This window comes from Homo sapiens, chromosome 9, assembly GCF_000001405.40.
Source record: "Homo sapiens chromosome 9, GRCh38.p14 Primary Assembly".
Classification (NCBI taxonomy): Eukaryota; Metazoa; Chordata; class Mammalia; order Primates; family Hominidae; genus Homo; species Homo sapiens.
Genome location: NC_000009.12, coordinates 132,079,183 through 132,104,895, shown reverse-complemented (window position 1 = coordinate 132,104,895; position 25,713 = coordinate 132,079,183). Strand labels below are relative to the sequence as shown.

General features: G+C 43.6%; 1 protein-coding gene and 1 long non-coding RNA gene across 7 annotated transcripts in view, besides 1 other annotated feature; one reads left to right on the top strand and one right to left on the bottom strand.

Annotated features, from left to right (window-relative positions):
* Window positions 1-313: 313 nt before the first annotated feature.
* LOC105376302 (uncharacterized) lies at window positions 314-1,676 on the bottom strand. The gene is made up of 3 exons (XR_930403.1): window positions 1,589-1,676; window positions 1,090-1,183; window positions 314-724 (listed from the first exon to the last, which is right to left on the bottom strand). It is a non-coding gene; the product is annotated as an uncharacterized LOC105376302 (long non-coding RNA).
* Window positions 24,853-25,132: an enhancer, noted in NCBI's record as "active region_29216". NCBI's record gives its function as "activates an Ori minimal core promoter by ATAC-STARR-seq in GM12878 lymphoblastoid cells {active_cell/tissue: GM12878}" and the evidence as "EXISTENCE:reporter gene assay evidence [ECO:0000049][PMID:35858748]".
* The window catches only part of MED27 (mediator complex subunit 27), a 219,756-nt gene continuing 219,071 nt past the window's right edge, over window positions 25,029-25,713 (top strand). For all 6 annotated transcript variants that reach the window (NM_001253881.2, NM_004269.4, XM_017015329.2 and 3 more), the window contains exon 1: window positions 25,029-25,254. In NM_001253881.2, coding sequence (NP_001240810.1) covers window positions 25,052-25,254 — 203 coding nt within the window. In that variant the 5' untranslated portion in view covers window positions 25,029-25,051. The remainder of the gene's footprint in view (window positions 25,255-25,713) is intronic.

Here is a 25,713-nt window from a genome sequence, read left to right as displayed (position 1 = left end):
TGTGACTGTACTGAGCTCCAGGGTGTCAGAGCTGCAGAGCCTGAGTTCTGCCTGGGGTCTTGCTCAAATCCCTCCTACCTCTAGGAACCCAGAAGCCCCACCCAAAGTGACCCTACATGACTTGGGGTGGGGTGTGCCAGGAGTCAGCCCTCTCAGGAGCCACATACCCATTGTTGATGGGAGGCGACATTTTCTTTTGTTCCCCAACCCCCCTGCCAGGAGCCATGCCCCTCTCTTGAGATTTTCTCTGAGTTGGAGACTGAAGCAGAGAGTTGAGGACCTCAGAGGACAGAGGGTGTCTCTGGCTGCCGGAGCAAGCTGAGCCATATTAACATTCCCATTGGGTGTCAGGAGGGTGGGATCCACTCAGGTCCATGTTGCAAGGAAGTTTCTCCATCACCCCCTGCCCCATCTCCCTTCAAGGCTGGAGTGCAGTGACTATTCACAGGCATGATTGTAATGTACTATGTAGCCATGAAGTCCTCCTCTCCACCTCTCCCACCCAGCTCCATCCCAAGAAGCTTCGTCTCTCCCAAGCTGACCCCTTCACCAGGGCCACCAGGCCTGCTGGGAGGACTCTGGCACTGACAGGTGCCTGCCGCTCACAGGGCCTGTCTGCCACCGCACTGTGATGGCTGGGGAGGGTGAGGGTAGAGGGCAGAGGACTTCTTGCCTCACAGGTGCTCCCACAGGTTCGATGTCCTTTGCTGAGGTCATCTCCCTCCTGTGATTTAATGAGGCTGAAGTCAGAGAAAACCCAAAGATGCCAGAGGGGCCGCCTCCTCCCAAAACCCGCCAATGCCTCCTTTTTCAGAGAGGATTTTCTTCCCTTCTCTCCTCCCTTTAAAAAAAAAAAAAAAAAAAAAAAATATATATATATACATATATATATACACATATATATACACACACTATATATACACACACTATATATACACACATATATATACATATGTGTGTATATGTGTGTATATATATGTGTGTGTATGTATATATATATATATATATAGATATATAAAGAAATGCATGTACATAGTTTAAAAAATCAAGTAGCCCTATAAGGTTTATTCTAAAAATAGCCCTACTCACTGGTGCTGATCCCTTGTCCCAGAGGCAGCCACCTTCAACTCTTTTAGCTTTATCTTGATGTTTCAGCTTTAAGCATCATATAATCGACTACCTGCTATAGAAAATGAGGATTTAGTTCTTAGGCACAGGCACACACACGTTTATCTTATCTCACCACCCCAAGATCACAGGTTCTAGTTAAACCAATATTCAGTGTTTACTGTCCTATGACTTGGGAAAATATTATATGCCACTGACTACCCAATGCACTGTGATTGCGTTTTTTGGTACAATTTCATTTTTCTCAGAGTTAGTAATTTTGATGGGTTTTTATATTTTCAATGTAGTTGCTAATTTATCTCTGTCACAACTCTAAAGCTTTTGTTAATATAATTAAAACTTCAGAACCTATTAGTTCTGTGTCTTGCTTTAAGCCCTCTATCCTGGGCTGCAATCAGCCTGGTTGCTGTGCTGGGCCCTGTGCACACCTGTGGTCTGGGTCCTCTGTAATAACATTTACCTCTCTCTTCTGTTGCATCCCCTGTTTCCTGGATTCTCTGTTTTCCACTTTCTTGGTTTACTCTCTCATTTTGATGGAGCACGTCCTCTAGTAGCTTCTTGAGAAAAGATGCATGGAAGGAAAATTCAGTGAGACCAGGCATGTCTGAAACATACTTAGTCCACACTTACACTTGATTGATAAAATTATCAGCTGGAGGCTGAGTGCAGTGGCTCACACCTGTAATCCCAGCACTTTGAGAGGCTGAGGTGGGAGGATAACTTGAGTCCAGGAGTTCAAGACCAGCCTGGGCAACATAGTGAGACCCTATCTCTAAAAGAAAAAAAATTATCAGCTGGACATGGTGGTGCATACTTTTAGTCCCAGCTACTTGAGAGGCTATGGTGGAAGGATAACTTGAGGCCAGAAGTTCAAGCCTGACTAGTGCACTACAGTCGTGCCTGTGAAGAGTCACTGCATTCCAGCCTTGGTAACATAGCAAGGCCCTCTTTCTAAAAATAAAATAAGATTATCAATAAGTTCTAGGTTGGAAATATTTTTCCGCAAGATTATGAAGGCCTGTGCCTTCTTCCAATTTCCAGTGATGATGTTAGAAAGTCCAATGCCTGTGGGCAGATCACCTGAGGTCAGGAGTTCAAGACCAGCCTGGCCAACAAGGCAAAACCCCGTCTCTATTAAAAATATAAAAATTAGCCGGGCACGGTGGCGCATGCCTGTAGTCCTAGCTACTTGGGAAGCTGAGACAGGAGAATTGCTTGAACTTGGGAGGCGGAGGTTGCAGTGAGCCGAGATTGTACCACTGTACCCCAGCCTGGGCGACAGAGCGAGACTCCGTCTCAAAAAAAAAAAAAAAAAAGTCCAGTGCCTGATCCTTGATCTTTTGTGTATGACATTCTGTCTTTGGAAGCTTTTGACATGATTTTACACTGGCACTCTGAAGGCTCTTTAAATCTGGAAATGTTTGCCCTAAAGTTTTGGGAAATTGTCATGTATTATTTTTCTTTGATAACTTCTGCCCCTCTATTTTCTCTCTCTCTATCTCTTTTTTTTTTTTTGACCTGGAATTCCTCATTTTGGATATTGAACTTCCTGGACTGTTGTAGAGAGAATAATGCCCCTCTACAGATTTCCACATCCTAATCCCCAGAACCTGTGAATATGTTACCTGACAGGTGAAAGGAACTTGGTAGAGGTGACTACATTAAGGATCTTAAGATGAGGAGATTAAGTTGGGTTTAATCAAACAGCAAGGATTTTTTTTTTTTGAGACAAAGTCTTGCTCTGTCAACCAAGCAGGAGTGCAGTAGTGCAATCATAGCTCACTGCAGCCTCAGACTCCAGAGTAGTTGGGGTCACCAGTGCCACCACACCAGGCTAATTTTTAATTTTTTACAGAGGCGGGGTCTTGTCATGTTGCCCAGGCTTCTCTTGAACTCCTGGCATCATGTGATCCTACTACTTCAGCCTCCAAAGTGCTGGGATTACAGGTGTTGGCCACTGTTCCTGGCCGCAAGGATTCTTATAAGAGGAAATCAGGAGGGTCAAAGTCAGAAAAAGGAGATATGACCATGAAAGCAGATGTTGGAGTGATGTGCTTTGAAGGTGGAGGAAGGGGCCACAAGCCAAGGAATTCTCTAGAAGCTGGTAAAGGCGAGGAAACAGATTCTTGCTTTGAGTCTCCAAAAAAGAACCCAGCCCTGCCAACACCTTGCTCTTTGCCAAATTAGACTCATTTCAGACTTATGACCTCCAGAACTGCAAGATACTATTAATGTTATTATTAATATTATTATTATTTTTTGAGACAGAGTCTTGCTCTGTCACCCAGGCTGGAGTGCAGTGGCATGACCTCAGCTCACTGCAACCTCCTGGGTTCAAGTGATTCTCCTGCCTCAGCCTCCTGAGTGGCTGGGATTACAGGCATGAGCCACCATGCCTGGCTAATTTATTATTACTATTATTATACTTTAAGTTCTAGGGTACATGTGCACAATGTGCAGGTTTGTTACATATGTATACATGTGCCATGTTGGTTTGCTGCACCCATTAACTCGTCATTTACATTAGGTATTTCTCCTAATGCTATCACTCCCCCTGCCCCCCACCCCATGACAGGCCCCAGTGTGTGATGTTCCCAGCCCTGCGTCCAAGTGTTCTTATTGTTCACTTCCCACCTATGAGTGAGAACATGTGGTGTTTGGTTTTCTGTCCTTGTGATAGTTTGCTCAGAATGATGGTTTCCAGCTTCATCCATGTCCCTGCAAAGGACATGAACTCACCCTTTTTTATGGCTGCATAGTATTCCATGGTGTATATGTGCCACATTTTCTTAATCCAGTCTAGCATTGATGGACATTTGGGTTCATTCCAAGTCTTTGCTATTGTGAACAGTGCCGCAATAAACATATGTGTGCCTGTGTTTTTATAGTAGCATGATTTATAATCCTTTGGGTATATACCCAGTAATGAGATCACTGGGTCAAATGGTATTTCTAGTTCTAGATCCTTGAGGAATCGCCACACTGTCTTCCACAATGGTTGAACTAGTTTACACTCCCGCCAACAGTGTAAAATCATTCCTATTTCTCCTCATCCTCTCCAGCATCTGTTGTTTCCTGACTTAATGATCACCATTCTAACTGGTGTGAGATGCCCAGCTAATTTTTGTGTTTTTGGTAGAGACGGGGTTTTGCCATGCTGGCCAGGCTGGTCTTGAACTCCTGACCTCAGGTAATCTGCCCGCCATGGCCTCCGAAAGTGCCAGTATTACAGGCATGAGCCATTGCACCCGATCTATATATGTTATTTTAAGTCACTCAGTTTGCAGCAATTTGTGACAGCAACCAAAGGAAATGCATACAGGAACTAACAGGCACCTACTGTGTGGCAGGCACCGGACCACAGTCTACATTCCTTCTTTGCTGAAGCTTTCTGGAGCCTTCTGATCTGGGTGGGCCTTACTTTGCAAATTCTCCCTCATTGTGCTCATCACAATTCTGATTAAATCATCAGGGTTTTTTATTCATTCATGTCTCTCTACCCACTAGACCACAGGCTCTATGAGGCCTGGGATTATGGGTTTGTTTGTTTTATTCACCACTTTGTCGTGTGGATGTTAATAAATATGTGGTGAGTGAATGACTAAATGAATCAAAGGGATTATCCCTGGTAGTCCTCACAGCAACCCTGGGAAGTAGGAACCATTACTCATTTCACAGGTGACGAACTGAGACACAAATGAGGCCCCATCACTTCTCTAAGGATGCATAGATTAGAAGGGGTAGAGCCAGGATTTGCACCCAGCGTTGTTTGGTGGGGCCTTCAGCCCATGAGCTTAGCCACTAAGCTAAAGATGTCCCTCCAGACTGTCTGCCTCTGCCTCCCTGACTGTCCCCAGCCCCCAGCCTTTGCTGACTTCTGCCCAGAGACCTGACATTCTGGAGGAAGGAGCATCTTAATTAGGCCACCCTGCAGCTGTTTGGGGAGCTGCCTGGTCCCCCACGGAGGCGGAGGTTTCTGTGACAAGTCCCGCGCATAGCTGGACTGGGGGCTAGAAGCGACAGGGTTTGTCAAGTTGATTTGGGATCCTTGGGAACGGGCAGTGTTCCAGAACCATAGTGTCATCATCGTTATTATTGTTTTATCTAATCTGTTCTGGAGAACAACCATTTTGAAATTGGGCAAAAATATAGCCTAATATATTTAAACATATATATTTTTATTTTTATATAATTTAAAAATAAACGCATTGATGTACATTTTCCAAGTGCCTGCCTGCTGAATTCCTAATGTAATACAACATGACTCAGAGCTAAATTTAAAGAGAGAAGCACATATGTTTAAAGCAGGCACCAACTTTCAATCTGAGGAGAAACAGAGTCAAAGTATTTTTTTTTAGCGTGTGAGTGGACTGAGTGCAAAGTGAATTATCTCCAAGCCATCTGGGAAGTCTGGTGTTTTTCAATGCCTTCACAACTCTAATTTTAAGCCGTTATTTGGCCTTTAAATAACAATATCTTTTCTTTCCATTGGAATTTGCACCAGATCCGCATTTATTGCGCTATCGACTCCAAAAAGAGACCTATCTTTGAGAGCAAAAAGAGCAAAAGTTATTGAACGTATTACTCTGCAGATTGGCTCTGGAAAAAAAACAGCAGTCTGATATTTTGCAAATGAAGTTTGACATATTCTGGGATGGCATATTGCACCCACCAAAACAAGCTGGTTGTGCCTGGAGGGGAAAGCTTAATTAAAGCCCCCTTAACAGCACACAACTCCAAGAAGAAGACTCAGGGTGTACTATACATGACCTTCAACTTGTTCCACAGGGTTCTCCTTCACAGATGAGATTCATGAAGTCACAAAAATGGTCTTGATTTTTACCCAGAAGAAAGACAGCACAATATGATTACAGAATCTTAGCTCTGAGGGGGTTCTGGTCCAACTCATCAAGCAGTGCAGGGATCTCCTGCCTAGAGTCCCAGATTAATGTCCTTTTAATGTCTACTCGAATACGTTTAGTCATGGGGAACTCACTGCCTTTCCAACTGTAGGAAGTCCTCTGCAATATTAGGCTGAAATCTTCCTCCCTACAGATTTCCTGCAATGGGTTCTTGTTATTGCCGCAAGATAACCTAGAAGGAATCTTCTCTTGGGCTAACATGAAGGTGAGTTGAAGGTCACCGCCATGATCTTTCTCTTGCTCCAAGCTAAGCACACCCAGCCCCTCTAAGGAAGGAACATGAGTACTTGGCAGGATCTCTCCAGTAACAAGGATGATAACTGTTTGGCAAACTTGTCCATAGTGGATAGGACAGAGAGACAAAGGGGATGTCTTGAGCCTCCATAAAACCAGATTTGGCCAGTGTATTTTTTTGTTTTTGTTTTTGTTTGAATCCCAAGCCTTCTCTTCCTTCTACAACCTCTATGTATGTTCCTTGGAGGCGTGGACTTTGCTGAAAACCAGACTCTGATTAGTAGAGATGTTCTCAAAGGGAATGGCCTACAGAACACACCATCCGGTCAAGGGATCCCTCAGACATTCTTCTGCCATGAGAAGAAGACACGCCAACAAGATTGGGAGACCCAGCATGAGCTAACTCCAATAAAGACTTTTTGGAATGTGCATGCACATCCTTGATGTGTGGCCCAAGGGTTCTTTTGCTCTGCAGTAGACGTTCAAGGTCAAGTGAAAGGTCCCATGAGACCCCGCCTCCCTCGCCTCTCTGATCTCAGCTCCCATCCACCTTCTCCCTTTCCTCTTGTGTTCCAGCCACTCTGGTCTCCTCACTACTCCTGCCAAGGACTTTGGGTTTTCGTTTTTTGGGGTTTTTTTTTTTTTGGTGGGGAGAGGGTGGGGACAGGGTCTCGCTCTGGTGCCCAGGCTGGAGTGCAGTGGTACAATCACAGCTCACTGCAGCCTTGACCTCCTGGGGTCAAGCAATCCTCCCACCTCAGCCTCCCTGGTAGCTGGGACTACAGGTGCACACCACCATGCCCAGCTAATTTTTTATCTTTGTAGAGATGGGTGTCCAGGCTTGAACTCCTGGGTTCAAGCAATCCTCCTGCCTTGGCTTCCCAACATGCTGAGATTACAGGCGTGAGCCGCCACGCCTAGCCTCCCCGAGGACTTTGCACCTGCTGTTCTTCCTTTTTGGAATATCCTTCCCACAGATATCCTCACAGCCTCATCAATTCCTGACTGCACACAGGTGACTACTCAAAGATCTCCTTATCTATCAAAATGGCACCTCTGCATCACTCTGTCCCTTTATCCTACTTCATTCTCTTCTTAACATATCTCACCACTTTCCATCACTAAAATGTCAGTTTCATAAAGCAGGGACTTTATCTCACTATGTATCCCGCTGTGTTCCCTAGGCCTAGATTGTGCCTGGCATGGAGTATTCCATTAATCAATGTTTGCTCTATTTCTTATGTTTGCAGATCAGTTTGTGGACTCTCAGAATGTCCTGCAGACAGACTTGAGAATGACTGGGTTAGCTTTCATGTTATGTCCTTCCTGAGCCCTCTCTAACCCTTTAGATAAAGTGACTCTCCTTTCTATGTGTTCTCTTCAGACCCAGTGGTCACTATTGAGGTGGCCTTGATCTCACAGCAGCTTGAGTTTTAGAAACTTGTATTCATATCTCATTAGGAACAATTCCCAGAGAGCAATCACTCACCCAGATGCCAGCAGGTGCTCAGGAAACACAAGGTATAAAAAGGAATGACATCCTCCTCCTCCTTCTGTTCTCTTTAATGGAAAGGTTTTGGAAATATTTAGGTCGAAATATCTTTTTTTTTCATAATGAAAGCCTTTCATACCTAGTAAATTGGCAGTGCTGGTGAGCAGAGGGGTTGAGGTGCAGTATGATTAATATCTCAAAGAACTTTTACTATCTGCTCAATTATGTCCACTCTGTCAGGTGTCATTTAGAACTCATTTTTTAAAAGTCCTCTTACAACTCAACAATGAAAACGATGAATAACCCAATTAAAAATAGACAAAGGATGTGAAAAGACATTTCTCCAAAGAAGATACACAAATGGCCAATAAGCAAAAGAAAAGATACTTGGCATCATTAGTTGTGGTGGTTAATATTAAGTGTCGACTTGATTGAATTGAAGGATGCAAAGTATTGTTTCTGGGTGTTGCCAGAGGAGATTAACACTTGAGTCAGTGGAATGGGAGAGGCAGACCCACCCTCAGACTGGGTAGGCACCATCCAGTTGGCTGCCAGTGTGGCTAGAAAAAGCAGGCAGAACAGAATAGAGAACCCAGAAATAAACCCAAAAATGTACAGCCAACTCATCTTCAACAAAGCAAACAAAAACATAAAGTGAGGAAAGACATCCTATCCAACAAATGGTGCTGGGATAATTGGCAAGCCACATGGGGGAGAATGAAACTGGATCCTCATCTCTCACCCTATACAAAAATCAACTCAAGATGGATCAAGGACTTAAATCTAAGACCTGAAACTATAAAAATTCTGGAAGATAACATTGGAAAAACCCTTCTAGACATTGGCTTAGGCAAAGAATTCATGACCAAGAACTCAAAAGCAAATGCAACAAGAACAAAGATAAATAGGTGGGACTTAATTAAACTAAAGAGCTCCTGCACAGTCAGCAGAGCAAACAAACAACCCACAGAGTGGGAGAAAATCTTCACAATCTATACCTTCAACAAAGGACTAATATCCGGAATCTACAAGGAGCTCAAACAAATTAGCAGGAAAAAAACAAACAGTCCCATCAAAAAGTGGGCTCAGGACATGAATAGACAATTCTCAAAAGAAGATATGCAAATGGCCAACAAACATATGAAAAACTGCTCAACATCACTAATGATCAGGGAAATGCAAATCAAAACCACAATGTGATACCACCTTACTCCTGCAAGAATGGCCATAATAAAAAAATAAAAATAAATAGATGTTGGCATGGATGCAGTGAAAAGGGAACACTTCTACACTGCTGATGGGAATGTAAACTAGTACAACCACTGTGGAAAACAGTGTGGAGATTCCTTAAAGAACTGAAAGTAGAACTACCATTTGACCAAGCAATCCCAGCAATCCCACTACTGGGTATCTACCCAGAGGAAAAGAAGTCATTATATAAAAAAGATACTTGCACATGCATGTTTATAGCAGCACAATTTGCAATTGCCAGGATATGGAACCAGCCCAAATGCCCATCAATCAATGAGTGGATAAAGAAAATGTTATATATATATATACACATACATACATATACACACACACATATATACATATATACATATATATGTACACATATATGTATGTATATATATGTACACATATATACATATATATATATATATATATATATATATATATATATATATATATATATATGATGGAATACTACTCAGCCATAAAAAGGAATGACTTAATGGCATTCACAGCAACCTGGATGGAACTGGAGACTATTATTCTAAGTGAAGTAACTCAGGAATGGATAACCAAACATCGTATGTTCTCACTCCAAAGTGGGAGCTAAGCTATGAGGATCCAAATGCATACGAATGATACAATGGACTTTGGGGACTTGGGGAAAAGGATGGGAGGGGGATGAGGGATAAAAAACTACAAATTGGGTTCAGCATATACTGCTCGGGTGATGGGTGCACAAAAATCTCACAAATCACCACTAAAGAACTTACTCATATAACCAAATACCACCTGTTCCCCAAAACCCTATGGAAATAAAAAATTTTTAAAAAGGAAAGCAGGCAGAAGAAGGTGGAATGAGCAGACTTGCTGAGTCTTCTGGCCTTCATCTTTCTCCCGTGCTGGGTGCTTCCTGCCCTCCAATATCAGACTCAAAGTTCTTCACCTTTTGGGCTCTTGGACTTACACCGTGGTTTGCCAGGGGCTCTCCAGTCTTCAGCCACAGAATGAAGGTCACATTTTTGGCTTCCCTACTTTTAAGGTTTAGGGATTCAGACTGAGCCACTACTGGCATTCTTGCTCCTCAGCTTGCAGATGGACTATCGTGGGACTTCACCTTGTGATGGTGTGAGTCAATTCTCCTTAATAAACTCCCTTTCATATATACATCTATCCTATTAATTCTGTCCCTCTAGAGAACCCTGACTAATATGTTAGTCATTAGAGAAACGCAAATCAAAACCACAATGAGATTCCAGTACACACACACAAGAATGGCTATAATCAAAAAGGCAGATAATAAAAAGTGTCTATGAGGATGTGGAGAAATAAGAACCCTCATATATTGCTGGTGGAAATAAAAAATGGTGCAGCCACTGTGAAAAACAGTTTGGCAGTTTCTCAGAAATGTAAGCAGAGTTACCATATGACCCAACAATTCCACTCCTAGATAAATATCCAAGAGAATTGGAAACATATGTCCACACAATAACTTATACACAAATGTTCACAGCAGCATTATTCATAATAGTCAAAAAATTGGAAATGACCCAAATGCCCATCAACTGTTGAATGGAAAAACAAAATGTGGTCTATCCACTTTTTTTGTCCATAAAAAGGAATAAAATTCTGATACATGTTACAACGTGGATGAAACTTTTAAAAACCCATTATTTTAAGTAAAAGAAGCCAGACACAGAAGACCACATATCGTATGATTCCATTTACATGAATTTTGCAGAATGGGCAAATCCATAGAGACCAAAAGTGGTTTCCAGAGACTGAGAGGGACAGAAAGTGTTCTGGAATTGGATAATGGTGATGGCTGCTCAACTTTGTGGATATATAAAGTATGCACACTTTAAAAGGGTAAATTTTATAGTATGTAAATTATAGCTCAATGTAGCTGTTATTTTTCTAAAAAATTAGTCTTCACCTTTAAGTAATTAAACAATTGATAAAAGTGATTACCATAGGTAGCTTTTACATATTTACATCTGTTATGAAAACACACACACACACACACACACACACACACAAATCAAGCAGTTGAATAGAATGAACTACCATTTTGACAGACTTCAACTATCTCCTCCCAGTGCAAATAACACAAGACATCAATGTTTTGGGCAAAGATAAAAACAGAAGTCATTTTCCTGTTGATACTATGCAGAGGAAGTAAAGTGATTGCTAGTAGTATCATGTTATCTTCATCCTTTCCAGCAGTGACCATCACATTGGACAGTGGACAGTGGACAGGTTGCTTATGGTGCCCAAGAGTCCGCACGGCCTGTTTATTTCTACCAGGCAGTCACCATAACCAACAAATTCCTGAGCTGGGCACGGTGGCACACACCTGTCTCCCAGCTAGTTGGGAGGATCGCTTGAGCCCAGGAGGTTGAGGTTGTAGTGAGCTATGATCGTGCCACTGCACTTGTGGGCAACAGAGGGAGACCTCATTTCTAACAACAAAATAAAGAACCAAGAAATTCCCAAAATAACAACTTAGGATCTGAAAAACTCATGGCATGTTGAGTACCCACATAACGTACCTAAAAACAAAAATAAAAAATAAAAAATCTCTAAACTTTTCATTATGGAAACTATCAAACTATCAAACATAAGTTGAGTGAACAGTAGAATGAATCCCAGTCTCAATAATTCTCAGCTGATAGCCAATCTGATTTCACCTTCCCCCATCTACCTCTGCTCCTCCATATAACATATAATCTTACCCATCAATATCTCAGTATGTACTTCTGAAAGAGGACTCTTTAAAAACACACACATGTCTGGGCATGGTAATCCCAGGCATGAGAGGCCGAGGCAGGTAGATTGCTTGAGCTCAGAAGTTTGAGACCAGCCTGGGTAACAGGGCAAAACTCTGTCTCTACAAAACATACAAAAATTATCCTGGTGTGGTGGCACACGCCTGTAATCCCAGCTACTCGGGAGGCTGAGGTGGGAGGATCACTTGAGCCTGGGAGACAGAGTTTGCAGTGAGCAGTGATCAAGCCACTGCACTCCAGCCTGGGTGGCAGCCTGAGACCCTGTCTCAAAAACAAAAAAACCCACACACATACAAAACATATTCAAGTTTCTCTTATTATCTTACAAACTTTAAAAAAAGTTTATATAATGTCCTTTTTATTATTATCTCTATTCTCCATGGAAACATGAATAGCAATTGCCACTATTTACAAAAGCAGCTATTGTGTGCCGGAGAGTTTACTGGGGGCTTTCCACATATTTTCCAATAAAATCTTTGCGTCAACCATAGAAGTTGTTTATTATCACCCACCCATCCACCATCTCCCAGCTCAAGGAGTTTGAGTGTCCCAACCAAGGTTCAAAGACGGGTCAGGCTGGCTGACCTAATCTCTATTTCCCACTCCTGGTTCTCCCATGCCCATCTTTATTATAGGGCTGAGCTGTCCAATAGTCTAGACACTAGCTGCATGTGGCACAATAGTTAAAGGGTAGCTAATGTCCAATTTGAGATGTGCTGTAAGATCCACAAAGAATTCAAAGACTTAGTGTAAAAAAAGAATGTAAACTATCTCATTAGTAATTTTTATATTGATTGCAGATTAAAATAATAATTTTTGGATATATTGGGTTAAAATATATTACTAAAATTAATTCTTGTATGTATTAGTCCGTTCTCATGCTACTAATAAAGATATACCCAAGACTGGGTAATTTATAAAGGAAAGAGGTTTAATAGACTCACAGTTCCACATGGCTGGGGAGGCCTCACAATCATGGCGGAAGGTGAAGACCAAAGTCACATCTTACGTGGCAGCAGGCAAGAGAGCTTGTGCAGGGGAGCTCCCATTTATAAAACCATCAGATCTCATGAGACTTATTCACTATCACAAGAACAGCACAGGAGAGCCCCACCCCCGTGATTCAATTACCTCCCACCTCGTCCCTCCCACGACACTTGGGAATTATGGAAGCCATAATTCAAGATGAGATTTGGGTGGGGACACAGCCAAACCACATCACTGTGGCTCTTTACCTTTCTTAAAAAATTGTGGCAAAATACATATAACATAAAATTGGCCATCTTGACCCATTTTGTGTGTACAGCTCAGTGGCATTAAGCATATTTACATCGTTGTCCAGCCATCACCACCACTCATCTCCAGAACTCTTTTCATCTTGTCAAACCAAAGCTCTGCCCTATAAAACAACAACTCCCTATTCCTCTCTACTCTTAGCCCCTGGCAACCATCATTCTGCTTTCTATCTCTATGAATTTGACTACTCCAGGGACCTCTTAAACCTCTGTAAAGACAGATTTGGCCAATATTTTGTTGGTTTTGTTTAAATTCCAAACCTTCTCTTCCTTCCACAACCTCTATGCTGTGTTCTTTTCAGATGTATGAATTTCACTGAAGACCAGCCCCTGGTGGCCACCATCCTGTACTTTCTGTCTCTATGAATTTGACTTCTTTTTTCTCACTCTGTTGCCCAGGCTGGAGTGCAGTGGCGCGATCTCAGCTCACTGCAACCTCCATCCCCTGGGTTCAAGCGATTCTCCTGCCTCAGCCTCCCAAGTAGCTGGGACTACAGGTGCCTGCCACCATGCCTGGCTGATTTTTGTATTTTTTTTTTAGTAGAGATGGGGTTTCACCATCTTGGCCAGGCTTGTCTTGAACTCCTGACCTCATCATCCACCTGCCTGGGCCTCCAAAACTGTTGGGATTACAGGCGTGAGCCACCTTGCCTGGCCAATGAATTTGGCTTCTTTAGGTACCTCACATAAGTGGAATCATACGGTATTTGTCCTTTAGTGCCTGGCTTAGTCACTTAGCATAATGTCTTCAAGGTCCATCCACGTTGTAGCATGTGTCAGATTTCCTTTATCCTCAAGATTGAGTAATATTTCATTGTGTGGCTAGACCACACTTTGTTTACTCATTTGCTGGGCACTTGGGTGGCTTAGACCTTTTGGCTTCCGTGAATGACGCTGCTGTGAACATAGGCATACAAATATCTCTTTTAGACCCTGCTTTCAATTCTTTGGGTATATATGCAGAAGTGGAATTGCTAGATCATATGGTAATTCTATTTTTAAGTTTTTGAAGAACTGCCATACTGTTTTCCACAGTGGCTGTACCATTTTACATTCCCACCAATAATGCACACAGTTCCAACTTCTCCACATCCTTGCCAACACTGGTTACTTTCTGTTTGTTTTTGTTTTTTGAGATGGCGTCTCACTCTCTCACCCTGGCTGGAGTGCAGTAGCGCGATCTTGGCTCACTGCAACCTCTGCCTCCTGGGTTCAAGCGATTTTCCTGCCTCAGCCTCCCGAGTAGCTGGGACTATAGGCATGTGCCACCACACATAGCTAATTTTCCACCATGCCTGGCTAATTTTTTTTTTTTTTTTAGTAGAGATGGGGTTTCACCATATTGGCCAGGCTAGTCTCAAGCTCCTGACCTCAGATGATCCACCCGCCCCAGCCTCCCAAAGTGCTGGGATTACAGGCGTGAGCCACTGCGCCCAGCTGTTTTTGTTTTTGATCATAGCTGGCCTAGTGGGTATGAGGCTCTTTGCCTTTTTAAACATGACTATTAGAAAACATGTAGCTCACATTCTATTTCTTCTTGCCAGCCGTGCTAATGGGGGCTGGAAAAGAAAGAAAAACTTGACTTCCTGGCCTTTTCTGCAGATAGAGGTGGCCATGTGACATTGTTCTGGCCAGCGAGGCATGAGCATGTCTGCCGGTGCCACCTCTTCTGCTTCCTACTTCTTCCTGCCTATGATGCATCCTGCAACCATGAAGTGACAGAAATGAGGATGAGGTTAAGGGTGGTGGGGCAGACTGATGAAAGAGGAGACTTGCTGATGAACCCTGGCATCAGCCTCTCATTATGTATCTCCAGACCACTCATCACGCAAGACCATAAACTCTTCTCCCTTCAAACCACCTGTAGCTTTTTATGCATTTGTTAGTGTGGCCACACTTCTATAATGGGATCACTCCAAAAGTGGCAGAGCTGGGACTTGAGCACACGTCTGTCTGTCTGTCTCCTAAAGCCTCTCCATCTATATTAGTCTGTTTTCACATTGCTGATAAAGACATACCCAAGACTGGGTAATTTATAAAGAAAAAGAGGTTTGGCTGGGCACAGTGTCTCACACCTGTAATCCCAGCACTTTTGGAGGCCGAGGCGGGCGGATTGTGAGGTCAAGAGATCGAGACCATCCTGGCCAACATGGTGAAACCCAGTCTCTACTAAAAGGACAAAAATTAGCCGGGCATGGTGACGCATGCCTGTAGTCCCAGCTACTCAGGAGGCTGAGGCAGGAGAATTGCTTGAACCTGGGAGGCGGAGGTTGCAGTGAGCCGAGATCGTGCCACTGCACCCCAGCCAGGTGACAGAGTGAGACTCCATCTCAAAAAAAAAAAAAAAAAGAAAAAGGAAAAAAAGAAAAGAAAAATAGGTTTAATGGACTCACAGTTCCACGTGTCTAGGGAGGCTTCACAATCATGGCAGAAGGTGAAAGGCACTTCTTACATGGTGGCAGGCAAAGAGAATGAGAGAATGAGACCCAAGCGAAAGGGGAAACCTCTTACAAAACCATCAGATCTCATGAGACTTATTCACTACCATGAGAACAGTATGGGTGAAACCACCCCCATGATTCAATTATCTCCCACCAGGTCCCTCTCACAACATGTGGGAATTATGGGAGCTACAAGTAAAGATGAGATTTGGGTGGGGACACAACCAAACCATATCATCATCTCTCTCTCCACCTCTACCACCCACTGCCTCCCAATAATGGACTGGTGATACCAGTGAGGTGAAAACCAGGCTCCTGGCTGTCCTCTGCATGATTACTCCCAAACAGGGAAGGTGTTTTCTAGCCAAACGGTGACCACGCATCAATTGCAGGGAATGTGTCTACTTTACACACACACAGACTTACAAATTAGCATGTCCACAGCTGGCTGTATCGTTTAAGGTAGGAAACCTAAGCCATCAGCAACAGGGAATTCAATAAATTCTGCAAAGCCATTGAATAGAATCTTTGATGGTCATTAAAATGATGTTTTGGAAGATGATTTTTTAATGATAGAGTATTTAATCTATATTATGAAAGATGGAGGTCTCCAAATAGTATGATTCTAATTTTGTAAAAGAATGTATATTTGGAAATAATCAAAATGTGGAGTGGTAGGATTATGCATAACTTAATTTTTTTTCTTTGTTTTTTTGAGACAAAGTCTCTTTCTGTCACCCAGGCTGGAGTGCAGTGGCTTGATCTCAGCTCACAGCAACCTCTGTCTTCTGGGCTCAAGCGATTTCTCCTGCCTCAGCCTCGCAAGTAGCTGGGATTACAGGCTCACACCACCACACCCAGGTAATTTTTGTATTTTTAGTAGAGATGGAGTTTCACCATGTTGGCCAGGCTTGTCTTGAACTCCTGACTTCAAGTGATCCACCCACCTTGGCCTCCCAAGGTGCTGGGATTATAGGCATGAGCCACCATGCCTGGCCATTTTTTTTTTTTTGAGACAGAATTTCACTCTGTTGTCCAGGCTGGAATGCAGTGGTGCCATCTTGGCTCACTGCAACCTCTGCCTCCCTGGCTCAAGTGAACCTCCCACCTCAGCCCCCTGAGTAGCTGGAACTATAGGCGGGCACCACCGCATCTGGCTAATTTTTGTATTTTTTCTACAGACAGGGTTTCACCATGTTGCCCAGGCTGGTCTCAAACTCCTCAGCTCAATTGATCTCCCACCTTCGCCTCCCAAAATGCTGGGATTACAGGTGTGAGTCACCTCATCCGGTCTTAATTTTCTTATGTAGGCTTTTTCTATGGTTTCCCAGATTGCAAAGTAAGCATGTATTTTGTAATCAGGAAAATTAAGAAAAATAAGGCTCTTGTTTCAAGGCGAATGGACTGTTGCTTTGTCTGGAATCTCACTAGCTCCCTTTGTTATCTTATGGAGAGTTGGGGGAGGGAAAGCTAGAGAGGGTGTTGGGAGGGGTAGGGAGAGCTGAATAGGAGCTCCTGAGACAAAAATCCTAGAGCTGCTACCGCCCCATGTGCCCTGGCCTTCCCTGGGGCCTTGGAAGCCAGGCATCTGCCCTTTGCACTCAGGTGCTGGGTGAAGACTCCAGGTTTAGTAGCTTCTGATGCTGGCAGACCACTGACCCTCTTGATTAAAATGCACCATCCACATAACTCAGTAATAGAATTAGAAGGCAATTCCTCCCTCAAATGGGCTGCGGTTGAGGCTGCACAAACAATGCGTGTTTTGTTTCACTTTGATTTGGCCTAATGTGTTGGTAAAAGGGTCCGTTCCTGAGACGTCTTGTACTTAATTACGTATGAACATGGCAGAGAGTGGAGGCCCCTAACAACATACCCAGTGGTTGATTAAGTGAGCATCCAAATGGGCAATCAATAATTTACTAAAATATTTAAAATACCTTCTGGCTTCCTGTGATGGGAAGAGTATGGCTCCTGTGTGTCCTTCATTGGCTGTTCTGCAGGTGGAGGTCTCCCCTGCCTTTCTGATCTCTCTGCTTCTGAGCTCGCGCACATCTGCCCACTTTCTCCATAGCTAGACAGTGGACTTGCAAAAAGAGATCTGATCACATGACACCCCCTGCTTTAACCATCTATTGCACTTGCCCCGCCCCTACCTACAGAGGGAAGCTCAGGATACACAACAGTTATTCCATTTATTTATTAAATGCCATCCAAGGCCTTTCTGGCTCCTTGCTGCAAGCTCCGCCCCTCCACACTCTATGCGGCTTCTCACTCTGGAGACTTTGCCCTGGCCAGATGGTCCTCCCTTACCTCTACCCCCACTTCACCTGGTCAGCCCCTATGTACCTTGGCAGTATGGCTCAAGCCTCCCCTCTCCAGGAGGATGCTCTGACCATACTGTCTAGGGACTCCACAATTCTCCATGTATGTCTCTTACCTTGCACTTGAACCTCACTGTGTTTCATGTTCTGATTGTGTCTGCCTACCCTACCAAGCTGGTGGGCAGGTGCCATGAGAACAGGAACACGTTCTACCTGGATCTTTATTTAATCCTTTTATTGGGTGGATACTCCCTAATAAATGAATGAATCAGGAATGCAGGAATCCTGGCATGGTGGTTATGATCAGGGTTGACGGTTAAGGATTCCCTCCCTGTCCTCCTTCTTGAACAAGTTCCTCTGAATCACCTACCCTTGGATTGTTAGCCCCAGAGGGGATTCACTTTCTTACTCTCTAGCTGCAAGAACTGAGGCCTGGAAGGGTTAACTTATGCATCTGAGAAATACCAGTGGGGCCAAGGCCCTAGTCTATGAAGATTTTCTGACTTCCAGGGTCCGCTTTGTCCCTGGGATCATGTGGGTCATTGTCCTCATGGTAACCATCGTCAGCATCAGCATCGTGTCAAAATCATCATAGGAAGGAAATAAGAGGAAAAGTTCAGAGAGGACTAAAAGAGGATTCTTTACCATACTTGTTTTAGATTAGTTATAATAAACCTGATTCTAAGCAATTTAAAAATGTTGGTTGTTCTGAGCCTTAACCAGGTAAACATGGAAGAACACAAAACCCACTTCAGATATTTTCGGTGATATTTATTGGGCTGTACCATTGACTCCCCAGAGGTTTAGCAAAATGTTGGGCACATTCAATATATATTTGTTGAGGACTAAAACGAATGCCTACTATGTCCCCAGAACTGGATGCTTCCTTAATTTAATCATCAGAACAACCTGCAAGGTCTTAAGCGTTATGCCACACTGATTACGACATGTGGCTTAGTTACGTTGTGGCTTATCTGAGGCAGATTTGATTTTAAATCTCTCTGGTGACATTCCAACCGTCGAATGCATTGCTCTGCACCTAGCGAATCCTTAATAATTATTAATTAATGAGGGTGCCTTCTCAGTCTGAATGCTTAAACCACATGCTCTCCGAATATGATGGGAGTTGCAGCATATTTTAATTAAATACTGACAACTTTAATTCTGATTGCTCATTCTAATACTCCTGAGCTAATAGCACCAAGCTAATGGCTTGTTCATTTTGGAAGATATTAACAGCAGGGCGCTGCCTTTTACCCAAACATAAGATCATAATAATTAAAATCTGATATTGCTCGAAATGAACTCCTTTAAAGTAATTTATATCCCACAAACACACACAGATGCAGGCGTGTAAGTGCCAACATTCCCAAGAATTTACGACCCCTTAGAGAAACTCTGTCCATTCCTTTCCAAAATGAAAAGTTTTCTGTTGATGTGATAAAAGACTCCTTACTATGTTCAGGGGAAATGTGTATTTCCACTGATCAATTTCTGAGTTTCCCAGAAGAGGGGAGCCACAGAGAAATCCTGAAAACTAATGGCTATGGGAGCAAAGTCTATTTGTACTTTATTGCACCAATCAGAGTCTAAACCACTGAATCAGACAGTGAGACAAAGAAAAATCTTATTGTATGTGTGAGACTAAGCATGAGGCAGAGATGGGATCTGCATACACAAAGAGATGGAATAATTTGGAGAGAGGATCCAAGAAAGTAAATATAACATATTGCATTAATTAATTGCTTCCACCAACTTATACTGAGTGCTTATTGAGTCCCAGGCATTGGACACCCAACGGTGTTTGTGCTAGAGTATGATCCTTAACGAGAGGTTCATGTTTGGGCTTTGGAGGGTGGTGCTATGAACCCCCTGAAATTGTACATAAAATCTCATGTTTATGGGCATATGTGGGTGAGGGTAGAAATAGATTGGTACTTTTTTTTTTCCTGGGGACAAAATATACCACATGAGTCACATTTTCTAATCCTTCAGGAACCCCCAAAAGGTAAGTACCTAAGATAATAGAATTTGCCTCCTCTACTCTTTTCCTAGAAAGAATGAACAAACCAAAGCCAAAACCAAAACAAGCCAACGAACAAAGATATTTCTCTTTACTTTTACTTCCTTTACTTTTGTAAAGTTAAAAAATATTTTCTACCAAAACCTTAGGAAAAAGCCTTACCCCTACATTCCAAAGGTGACAAAAAGGCCACCAAGGCCAGGGGCGGTGGCTCACGACTGTAATCCCAGCACTTTGGGAGGCAGAGGCGGGCGGATCACCTGAGGCTGGGAGTTGGAGACAAGCCTGGCCAACATGGTGAAATCCCATCTCTACGAAAAATACAAAAACTAGCAGGGCATGGTGGCGTGCCCCTGTAATCCCAGCTACTTGGGAGGCTGAGCAGGAGAATTGCTTGAACCTGGGAGGCGGACGTTGCAGTGAGCTGAGATTGCACCACTGTACTCCAGCCTGGGCAGCAGAGCGAGACTCATCTCAAAAACAAAAACAAAAACAAAAACAAAAACAAAAAAACCACCAAATATAGTGAATTATGGGATAAAATTCATTGACCAGCTATTAGCAACAAGATCATGTCATTAGAGATAATTTGAACTAATAATCCCATTGCTAATCCTTGCTTGAGTCTATGTAAAGAATTCTCAGTGGGATGAGAAGCATAATTCACAGACACCTTCTCCTAACAGCTATGCTCTTCTGAGCGTTTATTATCTACCAAGCATTATTTCAAAAGCTTCACCTGCAAGGTGTTATTAAACCTCACAGCTATTTTATGAAGATAGGTATTATTACCAGTCTGTTTTACAGACAAGGAAACAGATTCAGGGAGGTTCAATAACTTGTTAAAGCTCCACAGCTAGAAGTTTCCTGTTATCTTCATCCCTTCCCTTAAGAAAAGCTATAAATGACCACATTGTAAAGGTGAGCTAGATGTCAGGAAATGGAAGCAACTATATAATCTCAAGACAAAACAGCTTTCTTGCAAGAGACAATTAATTTAAATAGTGTTTAATAGTTGGTTTGTCGGGGTCCAGTTTCTTAGCAGAATTCATCTTTGTGTTTCCAGAACTAGAGGATTTGAACCGAGGTGGTGCGGTCAGGCTGGGAGGAAGTGGGGAATTTTTTTGAGACAGAGTCTGGCTCTGTCGCCCAGACTGGAGTGTAGTGGCACGATCTCGGCTCACTGCAACCTCCACCTTCTGGGTTCAAGCGATTCTCCTGCCTCAGCCTTCCGAGTAGCTGGGATTACAGGCACGTGCCACCACGCCAGACTAAGTTTTGTGCACATCCGGCTAAATTTTGTATGTTTTAGTAGAGACGGGGTTTCACCATGTTGGCCAGGCTGGTCTTGAACTCCTGACCTCGAGTGATCTGCTCTCCTCGGCCTCCCAAAGTGCTGGGATTACAAGCGTGAGCCACCGCACTTGGCCGGGAAGTGGGGAATTATTAAGGAGGTGGAACTGAGGTGAACTACCCAATTTCAAAATCCTTGTCAGCACAGTCTGGCTGAACTGAAGATTTTTCTTACCACCTAGACGGTGGTTTAGACTTTCCCTGCCTCTTAAGGATGGCCTTTTTATTTACTTACTTATTTATTTTTTTTGGAGACGGAGTTTCACTCTTGTTGCCCAGGTTGGAGTGGAATGACGTGATCTCGGCTCACCGCAACCTCCGCCTCCAGGGTTCAAGCGATTCTCCTGCCTCAGCTTTCCTAGTAGCTGGGATTACAGGCATGTGCCACCACGCTCGGCTAATTTTGTATTTTTAGTAAAGACAGGGTTTCTCCACGTTGGTCAGGCTGGTCTCAAACTCCCGACTTCAGGTGATCCTCCCGCCTTGGCCTCCCAAAGTGCTGGGATTACAGGCATGAGCCACCACGCCTGGCCTGGATGGCCATTTAAAACAACTTATTGGCCGGGCGCGGTGGCTCACGCCTGTAATCCCAGCACTTTGGGAGGCCGAGGTGGGCGGATCACAAGGTCAGGAGATCGAGACCATCCTGGCTAACACGGTGAAACCCGGTCTCTACTAAAAATACAAAAAATTAGCCGGGCGCGGTGGCGGGCGCCTGTAGTCCCAGCTACTCGGGAGGCTGAGGCAGGAGAATAGCGTGAACCCGGCAGGCAGAGCTTGTAGTGAGCTGAGATAGCTCCACTGCAGTCAGGCCTGGGCGAAAGAGTGAGACTCCGTCTCAAAAAAAAAAAACAAAAACAAACTTATTTTGACATAATTTCATACTTGCAAGAATAATACAAAGTATTCCTGTATACCCTTCACCCAGATTCCGTGTCTGTTGACATTTTACCACATCTGCTTTCGCCTTCTCTCTCTAAATAAACATATTCATTTTATTTTCTTTTTCATGTAGACATAATGATGATCTTTTTTCTCTTCAGGGTGTATTTCCCCCAAAACAAAGACATCCTCTTCCATAACCACAGTACAATGAACAAAATCATGAAATTATCAATGATATGGTTTGGCTCTATGTCCCACCCACATCTCATGTCAAATTGTAATCCCCAGTGTTGGAGGAGGGGCCTGATGGGAAGTGATTGGATCATGGAGGCGGATGGATCATGGAGGTGGATTCCCCCCTTGCTGTTCTCGTGATAGTGAGTGAGTTCTCACGAGATCTGGTTGTTTAAAAGTGTGTGGCACCTCCTCCTCTTTCACGCTTCAGCCATGTAAGATGCGCCTGCTTCCTGTCACCTTCCCCCATAATTGAAAGCCTCCTGGGGCCTCTCCAGTCATGGTACCTGTACAGCCTGCAGAAACATAAGCCAGTTAAACCTCTTTTCTTTGCAAATTACCTAGTCTCAGGTATTTCTTTATAGCAGTTCAAGAACAGACCAATACAATCACTGATAAAATACTGTTAACTCATCTACAGATCTTACTCGGATTTCACCAATTGTCCCAGTTGTATCAGCAAAAGAAGATCCTAGCTCACACATTGCCCTCAGTTGTCACAGCTCTTTGGTTTCCTTTAATCTGGAAGAATTTCTCAACCTTCATGTCTTTCGTGACACAGACATATATATATATATATATGTAATTTTTTTTTTTTTTTTTGAGACTGAGTCTTGCTCTTGTTGCCCAGGCTGGAGTGCAATGATGCACTCTTGGCTCACTGCAACCTCCACCTCCCAGGTTCAAGCAATTTTCCTGCCTCAGCCTCCCAAGTAGCTGGGATTACAGGTGCCCACCACCACGCCCAGTTAATTTTTTGTCTTTTTAGTAGAGATGGGGTTTCACCACGTTGGCCAGGCTGGTCTCGAACTCCTGACTTCAAATGATTCACCCACCTTGGCCTCCCAAAGTGCTGGGATTACAGGTGTGAGCCACAGTGTATGGCCTGACACAGATATTTCTTGAAAAAGTATAGGTCAGTCAGTTATTTTGTCACGTTTTTCAGTTTGAGTTCTATTGATGTCCTGATTAGATTCAGGTTATGCACTGCTGGCAAGAATATCATGGAGGTCATGTTGTGCTCTTTCCAGTGCATTGTATCAGGAGGTGCACAACATGTCCCGTCACTGGTGATGTTGACCTTGGCCTTTTGGTTAAGCTGGTGTCTGCCATGTTTCTCCACTGTGAAGTCACTATTAAGTCACTATCCATCCCCCCTTATGTTTACATTAATGAATTGTTTAAAATTTTTTGGTAAAATATACATAATATAAAATCAACCATTTTCACTGTTTCTAAGTGTCCAGTTCTGTGGCATTAAGTACAATCACATTGTTGTATGGCCATCACCACCATCCAGCTGTAAAACTTTTCCAAGTCTGTACTCTTTAAGTACAGACTTAAATATGGCCCTTTGCAATATTATGCTGAAATCTTCCTCTCTACAGCCTTCCTACAACTGGTTATTGTTATTGCCACTAGTTAACCAAGGAGGACTCTTGTCTTGGGTTGACATGAAGGTGAGTTGAAGGTCACAATCATGATCTGCCTCCTGCTCTCCTCTTCTCTGCTCCAAGCTATGCAACCCCAGCTCCTCTAAGGAAAGAACATGAGGACTTGGGCAGGTTCCCTTTAGTAAAAAGATAATAAATTTTCAGAAACCTGTCTATAGCCAACAGGACAAAGAGACATTGAATTTTTCCATAAAGCCAGATTTGGCCAACATTTTGTTGGTTTTATTTAAATCCCAAACCTTCTCTTTCTTCCACAACCTCTATGCTATGTATGTTATTTTCAGAGGTGTGTGTTCACTGTAAACCAGCCACCATTCTACTTTCTGTCTCTAACATTTTGACTACCCTAAACACCTCATATAAGTGGAGTCACACAGAATTTTGTTTTTTTGTGACTGGCTTATTTCACTTAGCATAATGTCTTCAAGTTTCCTCCAGGTAGCATATGTCAGAATTTTCTTGCTTAAGCCTGAAGAATTTTTCATTGTATGCCAGTATCACACTTTGTTTATTCATCAGTTTATGGACACTTGGGTTTCCCCTGCCTTTTGGCTATTTGGTGAATAATGCTGTTATGAACATGTGTACAGGTATTGAGTCCCTGCTTTCGCTTCTTTTGGGTATATGCCCAGAAGTGGAATCTCTGGATCATTATTTTCCTCTTCTTAATTAATAAGCATCTTGGGGGACGATACTTTGAGATTACCTAAAAAGCCTGTTATTTTTCTGACACTTTCACCCACTAGTTTTAGCATCCATCGATTTCTATCTGAATCAATTATTCTAATGGCTGTCAAATGGCAATTTTCTAATTCCATCACTCTTTCTGCATTTATGAGCTGGCATTCTATTGGAAAGAAGAAACTTTCCTTCTCCCCGCTTTATTTATGAATATGGACTCATTTTATTGAATGGGCTATGTTCCTTTCCTTTTTACACTATTGCTCTGAGCAATTCTTTTCCCTATGATTCCCCAGAGTGCAAGTTTGGGGAAATGCGGGAACTTTCTGTATTTCTTTGTCACCATTAAGCAAACCGGGAGTGCAACCTGACTTCCCCAAGTTGAGAAAAATCACTTTCCTGCCCATGCATTAGTTTAGCTCAAGGGGAAACCCTTTTTCGAAAGTGCTTTCTGGGTAGCCCCGCGCGAACTGCATTTCCCAGAGGTCTTCGGAGATACGTCATCAGCGAGCGCGGCTTTTTTGCTTGCGAAGCCGGCTTTGGAGAGCTGCTGTGGCGGCGGCAACATGGCGGACGTGATAAATGTCAGTGTGAACCTGGAGGCCTTTTCCCAGGCCATTAGTGCCATCCAGGCGCTGCGCTCCAGCGTGAGCAGGGTGTTCGACTGCCTGAAGGATGGGATGCGGAACAAGGAGACGCTGGAGGGCCGGGAGAAGGCCTTTATTGCGCACTTCCAGGACAACTTACATTCGGTCAACCGGGACCTCAAGTAGGTACCGGCTGAAGGGGCCGGGGTCGGGGACCGGCCCCGCTCCGACCCTGCCCCTACGTCGCTCGAGTCTTCCCAGGCAGGGGCTGTTCTCCGTTTCCCTTGATCCCTGTTCTTTCTCTTCTTGTTCTCCAAGCCTCTGCCTGTCCCTCAGGGACATCTTAACACCATCCCCGCTTTCTCGTCTTGCTTCTCCTGGCCTCCTGGTCCTGTTTGTCTTCCGCCATCCTCGACCTCTTCTGTGGCGGTTCCATTCCTAACAAGGAGGCATGCTTTTCCCATGAACTTCCACTTCTCTGAGCTTGGCAGGTTTCTCACCTGTAGGCCCTCTGTGCCCCATCACGTCTGATCCGAATGTAGTAATAGTACAGACAGGACCTGGTCAGTCGGCTCCAAACCCAAGTGCACCCGATCTGATTAGCCCCAATTCCCCGGCCCTGAACTTGGACTTCATCAGTT